Source organism: Homo sapiens, chromosome 2 (genome assembly GCF_000001405.40).
Source record: "Homo sapiens chromosome 2, GRCh38.p14 Primary Assembly".
In the NCBI taxonomy this organism is placed as follows: domain Eukaryota; kingdom Metazoa; phylum Chordata; class Mammalia; order Primates; family Hominidae; genus Homo; species Homo sapiens.
Genome location: NC_000002.12, coordinates 58487773 through 58498392, shown reverse-complemented (window position 1 = coordinate 58498392; position 10620 = coordinate 58487773). Strand labels below are relative to the sequence as shown.

General features: G+C 37.0%; 1 annotated feature.

Moving 5' to 3' along the window:
- Window positions 697-1301: an enhancer, noted in NCBI's record as "OCT4-NANOG hESC enhancer chr2:58724227-58724831 (GRCh37/hg19 assembly coordinates)". NCBI's record gives its function as "activates a minimal SCP1, AML or CMV promoter by ChIP-STARR-seq in naive and primed H9 embryonic stem cells {active_cell/tissue: H9 hESC(naive and primed)}" and the evidence as "EXISTENCE:reporter gene assay evidence [ECO:0000049][PMID:30033119]".

The following is a 10620-nucleotide window of genomic DNA, read 5'->3' as shown; positions in this document are numbered from 1 at the left end:
AAGGTAGAAAAAGAACAATTTCTCTTACTTGAAAAACTTCTTGTATTCTTAATATACCATTTTTAACCTCAGAATAATCTGTGGTTGCAATATTGCCCAATTATGTATGTTGTATCTGTTCATTTCATAAATTCCTTTCTGCTCTTCCCTTTGTATCCAAAAGAGTGTTTTTAGGTGTGAAGAGATATGCTTCTCTGAAACACCCTTTTACTCTCCATGGCCTATTATTCTCCCTAAAAACAATTATTTCTGATGCTGTACAAAAAGTATTTTAATCTCACCTTGATGTTGGCAATAGATCTTTGCTTCAGTAAAGCCACAGAGGAAAACACTGTATTTACTCTTACAATACTATCATTCCTTCTCCTGGTCCTCTACTGTGAGTATGCAAACACAAACACTTCTGTCAGTATATTGCCACTCTCTCATCCCCACCACACACATAAACCTTCCCAATTTTCTCTAAGAGAAGAAGGAACTTACACATTAATCTTCAGTAGTAGTCTTTATTAAATCATGTGATTCTTTTTCCTTTAAGGAGGAATAGATTCATTCAGTTTCTCAACCATCAGAGGCAATGTTAGTTGGTGTATACATTTTATGAAATGGTCTCCTTGCATTCTGCAGTTCTTCCTGTTCTTTAAAAGCGGGGAGAAGGCCTGATTAAAGCAAAAGGATAGTTCGAGGTGGTACCATAGTCGACACTAATTCATTATTAAATAAATACTTTTTGAGTATCTACTAGGTGCCAGGAACACTATTATTACCTGCTTATTATTGTATTGCACAGATGAGCAAAAAATAGACTTAGCCCCTGTCCTCATAGACATTGATCAACTAATTAAACCAAGAAAGGCATTCTACAAACTGTGGTTCAAGATGTCATGTGAGACCATCGAAGAGCATTATGTGCCTTTGAGGAATCAAAGGCTTCCCAGGGGAAGTGAAGAATGAACTGCTGACTAAGGTCAAGTAAGAGGTGACCAGGTAAAAGGGGGAAGGATTACAGAGAGAAAGAGTTCACCGCAGAAGGGGGGAAAATGTCTCAATGGCTACATAGCAGGAAAACAAAAGGCAGTGTGAGTCAGGGAGTGGTGTAACTGGAGGCTGAAGTAATAAGTAAGGTTTGGATTACACAAAGCCATACGGGACTGGGAAAGGCTTTTGGTCTTTATTCTTGGAGCACATGGAAATCAGAGGAGAATTTAGTTACATGTAAATGGTAGGGGAGTAGCTTAATAAGTAGGAAAGGCCTACCCAGTTTATAAAAGCAATTAGAGATAGTGCATTTAAAAAATATTTTACAAATAAATGCAAGTTAATCATTATGGAAAACTTTTAATAATTATCTAACTAATCATCATGCTTCACAGTTTCATTTCAACAGCCATGATTTATTCCATGAGGCTAAAGAAAAAAGAAAGAAAATAACGAAAAAACCTGAATAGAAGCGTATAAATTATGTAAATTGAATTAAATTAAATGAATTAAAGAGTAAACACATAAATTATGTATATGCATTTTTATTAACATAACAAAATAAATTATTTAATTTAATAAAAAACTATTCCACATTAAAATCTAACACAAACATATAAAACCAAAATTTTATACACTCATAAACTAATTTTTGCTACACAGATTAGAATAAAGAGCAGATTCGGAATCTCAAGATTTAAATCCATGACGTTTCTCTGTGTTTTCAATGTCATCACTTTTATCCTTATCTAGGCCAGAATTATTCACAGCAACATAAAGAAATAGACTTATTTGTTAGATGAATTAATAAACTTTCTCAAATGTTTAATATATAATAAATCAATCTAGGTAACTTATAAATATTGTCCCTATTATAATAGCTGCTGTTAATAACACGTTGAAGAAAAGCAAGGCACAAATGTTTGCCTTTTCTGTGCCTCCAGGCAGATAGGGAATCCACACTTATGAGGGGAAGGAGGGAAGCTCAGTTTCATTCCACTATTGATCTATCAGACAAGAACTTAATCAATCTTCTTTATAAGCTATTAAAGCCAAGCTCCAGAAATGAACTCACCCGATGCATTCAACATTGATTGTCTCTTTCTAAGAACTGAATATGTCAGTCTTATCTACTACTACAGCTGTGATTCAATTTTTAAGGGACAAGATTTTTCCTTCATTAGTTTTCCCAAAATGCTCCAATTAAGAAAAAGCATTTTTGATAGTGGCCCATGGTAAATGACTAAAACAAAATGAAGACCATAACCCTCAATTTCAGTCAAAGCCTCTGGAGAAAATGAGAGACCAAAAGCATATGTTCATCAAAGGAAATTCAGCACTAGTCCCAAAATTCTGTTCTAGCGTGAATTCTGAAAAATGCTCTGGCAGCATGAAACTAATGTTGAGACCTTAAGCTCAGATAAATCTTGGAAATTCAAAGGGAAACTCAAGGCAGTTGTAAATCTGTCTTTACTGCATATACATTTCAGCAGAAGCTTCTATATGGAGTATTAGGTTATATGACATCCCATTCAGCATCTAACTGCCTCATAAATACAGGCAGCAAGGTCATTTTATATTTACAGGGCAACTCCAAAAGTGCTAGATGCTATACACTGGGGGCAGGAGGAGGGGGAGGCTCAACATGCTCGGTTTATTAGGAAAGGTTAATAGCACAAATCCTCAATGACCAAAGAGAGTTCCCTTTGGCTCAGCTTTCTGGCTTCCATTTCTTCTTTCTAGGTCCCTTTACAGTCAAAAATTAAATACTGGGAGAAGCAACATTAAAGAGTTATCTCTACAGTGTTCTAAGGCTCTAGAGGGTATTCGCCCACTTTAGTATGGAAATACTGCCTATTCCCTAATATAATACAAAGAACATTTCCTATGGATGTGTTGTTAGCTTGGTTTTCTATGGTAAATGAGAGAGGAGAAAACATCTATTCCCTAAAACCCTACCCCTGACTTCTCCTTTATTTCTCTATATTCTCTGCAAATATATATAATATAACACAGCTCTATCACAGGCTGTTAGGTTTCCTTCACAAGGTCTGATTTTCTCAGGCTCCCCAAACATACTCACCTGAATCCTTGCACATGATTCCTAATGAATTCACCCACAGACAGAGATTATAGCAAAGTGCAGGAAGAAGCAAAGGGCCAAGAGCAACATTCCACTGTCTCCTCTAATGTCCCACCCAACTATCTTCTGGAAGCTTCTCTAAAACAGGCAACGAGGCCACGCTGAGGAGCCAAAAAGGCACTGGCTAGTGGAGCTCCCCCTCAGTGTTTGCCCACCTCTACTGCCCTTCAGCCTCTACCCCAGCAAAAGCATCAACCTCTCTGCTATTAAAGGTGCTAATGTATATGTGCATTCCTTTAGAAACCCAGGGAGTTGAAGGCCTCAATATTTTCAGAATGCCTAACATATTCAGGAAGATGGGATGCAGTATGGGGTCTAATGTTTATTTATTGCAAAAGTCAAGAATAGCTGGAAGTCCATTAAGAGGATGTTTCAGCAGATTATATTAATTTGTAATTAATTTTCAGTGGTATTTATGAGAGAACGCTTTAATCAGCATAATTCAAACTTTGAAAATTATAATATTAACTAGTATTAATTAAATAATAATTTGTAACTTTCAATAGTTTTAATTATCTTTTGATTAAATTACCTGTTAGTCAATTCCACCCTGCTTTTGATATTAATTAGCTAACTTAAACATGATGTACTGAAACTACTCCCCTGTGGATTAAGGCATATTGTCTAAACAGGTCAACACTGAGATACTTAAGTGTGACAATTTAGATTGCATGATTAGCAAAATTAATTGTTTAAGGCACTGGCTTTTTCATTCTCAATTTGCTAGCGGGTAAGGTCTTTAAAATATGCCCTGGGTTTCCCTAGGCCCAAATTCCAAGACATCCCACATTCTGTTATTCCCCCTTTTCTCCTCCCCCGCTTCCTTCTCTATCCTGTTACAGAACATCCTAGTCTTCTGAGACCTAAATTAGTGTCAGCCTATTAATCAGGCAACAAAATATGTCAGAGGAAAATGAAGTTGCAACCCCCACCCCCCTCCACAGGCAGATCAGTTTGCACTCTGTCTCAGTGCAGTGGAGCCAGGGACCTCAGCACTACAGCCCGATTTAGGTCTCCTCTGTGCAGTGATAACCAGCCCAGACCTCATTTTTAAGATGTTAATATTTAATTTAAAGCGCCCTACCCGCAAGTTCTCAAAGATAAGTGTCGTTGACTCCACACATTGCTCTTGCGCCTTCGCTGAGGCTGCGCTGCTCCCCGCCCCTACTCCGCCCCCAGCATCCCACCCCAGAAATTAAGATATTTTTAAATGAGCGTTCTAAAATCAGCTATCAATGTGACAGTTTGTATTAATCATTCACATCATCAAGAAAAGCAGGTATACATGACACAAATAAAGGAAGAGATGGATTTTATTTTTGTGATGTGGAACAGCAACCAAAAATATGGGTTTCAGAAGCTCCAACTGACCCTCTTCTCTCAAGAAACATCACAGGATTATTGAATCTCCACACCAGCTAATATGACATCACTTTATTCAAAGATAATCCTTATTTGGGGAACAGAATCTTCACTAAGAAGGTGTCACGGGCAGTTTTTACAAACCACAATACGCAAGTGGTCGTCTTTGGTTATTCATATTATAACATATTCTAAATAATTTCATCCTGAAACTCTCTATTTACAGTGATTAATGAGGATAATGTATATTTCAGAGCCCTTGACCTTCTCCAGGGCAGTATCTGATATGAGTGTCTGGTACCAGTGTTTAGAATACTGTAGTACTTGAACATGAAAAGCAACAGCAATGACATGAAATAAAAAGAACATTTGTTATGTCCAGAAATTTCACAGATAAACGGGAAAAGAAATTTGTAAGGCCCAAGTGTTGGATATAATTTCTGACTCGTGTGACATAGTTTTGCCATTTACTTATTTATTTATTTTAGACACAGGGTCTCACTCTGTTGCCCAGGCAGGAGTACGATGGCATGATCATGGCTCACCGCAGCCCCAAACTCCTGGGCTCAAGTGATCCTCCCACCTCAGCCTCCCAAGTAGCTGGGATTACAAGCACACCCCACAGCAACCAGCTAACTTTATTTATTATTTATTTATTTATTTATTTATTTTGAGACGGAGTCTCGCTTTGTCCCAGGCTGTAGTGCCGTGGCTCACTGCAACCTCCGCCTCCCATGTTCAAGCTATTCACCTACCTCAGCCTCCCGAGTAGCTGGGATTACAGGCGTGTGAAACCACGCCCGCCTAATTTTTGTATTTTTAGTAGAGATGGGGTTTCACCATTTTGGCCAGGGTGGTATCGAACTGGTGACCTCGTGATCCTCCCGCCTCAGCCTCCCGAAGTGCTGGGATTACAGGCGTGAGCCACCACACCCGGCCACAACCAGCTAACTTTAAAACAAAATTTCATAGAGATTGAGTGTTGCTATGTTGGCCAGGCTAGTCTCAAACTCCTGGGCTGAAGCGATCCTTACATCTAAGCCTCCCAAAGTGCTGGGATTACAGGCATGAGCCACTGTTCTCAGCCAGTTTTGCCATTTATATAAACTAAGACTATAAAATGTACAGATAATAAAGAATGGGGTAAATACATAGTTTTGAATTATTTTTATATCTATTATACTTTTCTATAATTCATGGCCTAGTGATTTTCTTTCAGTTTAACCTTTCAACGCTTATACTACACTTTTTTAAAAGGAATGAGTTGTTTGCTTGCTAGACACAATACAGAACATTCATCTGCATATTTGAAAAAGAAACAAGTTCTTTTTTTCCCCAAAAATTGATTTTAAATGACTTGTAATTTTTTGAACAGTGTTAAACTGATTTTCGATGTATTTTTCTGCGCAAATGATTAATAAAATGTTCGACTGCTAAGCAATTTTTGTATAAATACAAACGACAAGTTCTCAGTTATTTTGATAAAGGTCATAGGGAGTAAGAGGAATGGGGCAAATGACATGATGTGAACATTTTAGAATACACTATTTTATCTTTATTAAGCCCATAAACAGCAAAATAAGGAGTTATTTTTTTTAAAAAAAAAGGTAATTCCCATTTGAAAATAATTAATCTAACATGCATCCAGATCGTCAGTTGCAAAGCACAAAGAGAAATCAGGTGGGACTCATTGGGAAAATATCACTTAAAGCTCAATCTCAGTTGGAAATAACTTATATGTAATATGTGAAATATAAAAAACCTAAGAATAACTGTAATAAGAAATACATGGAAATGAAGAAAAAAACAAAGTTTTGGTTTTTTGTGGGGTTTTTTGTTGTTGTTGTTGTTTTTTAGACAGGGTCTCACTATGTTGCCCAGGCTGGAGTGCAGTGGTGTGATCTCGGCTCACTGCAACCTCCACCTCCTGGGTTCAAGCAATTCTCCTGCCTCAGCCTCCCAAGTAGCTGGGATTACAGGTGCATGCCACCATGCCCGGCTAATTTTTGTATTTTTAGTAGAGACGGGGTTTCACTGTGTTGGCCATGCTGGTCTCGAACTCCTGACCTCAGGTGATCCATCTGCCTTGGCCTCCCAAAGTGCTGGGATTACAGACATGAGCCACTGCAACTGGCCAACCACAAAGTTTTATTGAGCTGCAAAACAGGACTTGAATAAATGGAGAGACATATTTCTCTTGAGTTGAAAGATTCATCATTGTAAAAAAAAATGCAAAAACATTTCCAAACTAATTTATAGCTCTACACAATTCCAGTTAAAACATAACTGTTTTGAATTGGTTGTTCTCATGATCATCTGGCAAAACTAAGAAGAATCAGCAAGAATAAATAAGAATTTGGAAAGAGTATTGGGGAGGGAACTTACACTGTCAGTTATAAAATGTACCATAAAACTACAATGGTTAAAGCAGTAGGATGCTGGTTTCAAAACACCAATTAGATAAAGAGATAAAACACATTCCTGAAAACAGATACAAACATTAGTAAATGCTAGTATTACAATGGTGGCATTTCTATCATTATAATAGAAAGGAGTAAGGTCCTGGGATCCCTGGAGGAAACAAATGGAGGTATTTATGTCACATCCTATTAAAAAGAAAATTAATTCCTCAAATAATCCAACATTATTTTTTCATCAAGTGCCTCTATATTCTAGGCACTAGTTCTACTTCCCAGGTATAGACTAGTTTAAACAATAAGAAGAGAGAAAGAAAAGTTCTTGACTTACAGGATCTCACATTCTGGGGCAGTCAGACATATTGGGGCAGCCAGACATATTGGGGCAGCCAGACAATTAACCAATCAACCAATTAACCAATTAACCAATAATATTATTTTAAATAGCAATACGTACTATGAAAAAACTAATCTAGAGTGAAAGGGCAGAATAATAGAAGGCAGACCCATTTGAAATAGGAGGGTAAGGCAGGGCTTTTCTGAGAACCTGATATTAGAGAGGAATTCAAGGTAGAGTAAAAGCACAAACCATGTGTACTTGAGGGGAGAACCTTCCAGGTGGAGGTGACTCTGAGAAGAGCTTTCTTGTGTTCAGTAGTTGAAGGGGGCCAGCTGGGTGGAACACAGAAGAGTGGTGGGAAACAAGGGTGGAGAGGAAACCTGGAGCAAGATCAGGCAAATCCCCATAGGCCATGATGGGGGACTTAGCATTTTGTTCTAAGTGTGATGTGGAAGTCATTGGAGGCTTTTGAGCAGCAGAGTGCCACAATCTAGTTTAAATGTTGAAAGATGTACTGTTTTGTGAAAAGCATACTATCAGGAACCAGGGTAGAAATAAGGAGACCTGTTAGGAGCACTTGCTGTGATCCAGGTCGGAGGTGTGATGACTTGGGACATGGTGGCAGAGATAAAGTGATGATAAATGGTTAGATTAGGACACACTCTGAAGGCAAAACCAACAGGATTTGCTTATGTATTACATGTGGGATGTAAAACAAATTATCTAAATGATGCAAAAAAAATAATGAAAACAATATCATCATTTTTTTTTTGAGATGAAGTCTTGCTCTGTTGCCCAGTGCAGTGGCATGATCTCTGCTCACCGCAACCTCCGTCTCCCAGGTTCAAGTGATTCTCCTGCCTCAGCCTCCCGAGTAGCTGGGACTACTGGTGTGCACCACCACACCCGGCTAATTTTTGTACTTTTAGTAGAGATGGGGTTTCGCTATGTTAGCCAGGCTGTTCTCAAACTCCTGACCTCAGGTGATTCACTAGCCTCAGCCTCCCAAAGTACTGGGATTACAGGCATGAGACACTGCACCCAGCCAACATCATTATATTAGTTATACAAATATTCAGCCAAAATGAAAACCTTAGATAGTCCGTTCTCACACTGCTAATAAAGACATACCCAAGACTGCATAATTTATAAAGGAAAGAGGTTTATTTGACTCACAATTCAGCATGGCTGGGGAGGCCTCAGGAAACTTACAATTATGGTGGAAAGGGAAGCAAACACATTCTTCTTCACATGGCAGAGGAAGGAGAAGTACCAAGCAAAAGGGGGAAAAAAAACCCTTATAAAACCATCACATCTCATGAGAACTTACTATCACGAGAACGGCATGGAGGTAACCACCCCCATAATTAAATTACCTCCCATCGGTTTCCTCCCATGACAGGTGGGGATTATGGGAACTACAATGCAAGATGAGATTTGGTGGAGACACAGCCAAACCATATCAGAATAGAAAATTTTAAAAAAGGGTTTTTTATAAATAAAATTAATTATTGGTGAAAGAACAGTAGATGATTCTATAAATCATGTATTTTGAATTTGAGAAGTAAGTAGACAGTTACTTTAAGGTTCTATGGGAGGCACCATTATCTATTTAATGTTAGTTTCCTCTTTTGATCTCTGTTCCTAGTAAAAGAGATGCTATTTGATGCATTTGAATGCAGTCCATAGCAGGAAAAAGTTAATAAATCCAAAGTCCCCAAACTTTATTTCAGTAATTCTTTTCAACTCAGTAACTATCAGCTGCTTTGCCACGGTTGCTGACTAGGTAACACCACTGATAATTTGAATGTTCACTCTTTATTCGCTCTGCTCAAATTCTACAGAAGGGGCCATATGCTATGATCTAGCCCAAAAGTTATCTTTCAGATAAAAAATAAAGATGACATGGTGATACATATTCATGTGATATTTATAATATTCATATAGAGTTATCTAAAACCAAACTTTTAATTATAATGCTAAACTTCTGTCCCATGATTCCTAGAAATGTTTAAAGAAATTGGAATATATAACTAATGATAAGAGTACATAAATTTGGTTCACCAAGTTTACTGACATATTATTATTTGATTGAATTGAAATGATATGTAATATTATTATACACAGTCTGACTTACCCAATGTTACTAGAGACATAGGAAATAAAAATTGATTTTGAAAACTGAGCTAAAAATATTGAATTTGAAAGTGTCCTTTATTGTCATGCATATGTCTACATTCATATCCTTACATTTTTCAAATTTTCCTACAATGTGTGATTATCAGATGTGAGATACACAGATTTATCTCCTTTTTGCTTTTTATCTAAGGCTTTACATAGCTTGTAGTAATATGTCAACAAAATTGGTGATTGTACCTTGACTTGTAAAATAAAACCCATTTTAAGAGTATCATGAATCTAACAGAGCATGTCTTGTGTTGTGATTGGTAGAAAATTGGATATTAAACACTAGGGACAAACCGATCTTCTAATTCTGGTACTTGAGTAAGTACCAAAAGAAAAAAGAAAAAGAGACAAAAAAAAATCATTACTTGGAGTTGATAGTTTAACTGATCATGATCAATTTGAAGTGCTTATTGCTTAAGTAAATGACCTTTGGGGTGATTTCATTAGCTCCACATACTGCAAAAGGTTATATCTGAATTCAATTTTATGATTGAGTCTAGGCATATAAAATCTCAAAATAGTTTGAATGGATATAAAAAAAAAAGGCACAGAGTCCTTCTGAGACAAAGACTGGGCTGTGAAAATCCTGCTAGTATTGCTTTTCTAATTGTCATCTTCATGTGTAAGTAAATATTTGAAATAGGAATGCAATGCACTGATATCATCATCACTTTAAGGTTTGTGGTTAGGAAATGACTTTAAAATTAGCTATCAGTTCTAACTTTTTAGTACTATAAACTACTATAAATAAAATTTGGTCCCCCTGGATCCATTTCAGTTCTTTGATGAAGTCTCCTTACCTTTATAGAGATGCAGTACCCCATAATGGTTCGGTTTTAGTTCTACCTTCCTTTTCTCCTTGAAGTGCTACAAGGCATGTGCTTGTTATTTTATTAAGATAGGTGTCAAATGTTTGTGAAAAGAATTGTATATGTCTCCTTCAGGCATAACAGGCAGGAGAATCAAGAAAGGTGTTTGAAAACTAGATGAGGCATAGACCCTTCTAGTCTTCATATATTATTGGTAGATGAAATAGAGGCAAATATTATCTCTAAATACCCCCAAATTAGGAATACTGGGGTTAGAGAAAAAAATGCTTAGAAGAAATGAAACTATGTTTTTATCTAACTGACCTTGAAAGCAATGTAGTAATTCATTTTCTTGATGTTTCCTTCTCTTCAGTCACCATAGCT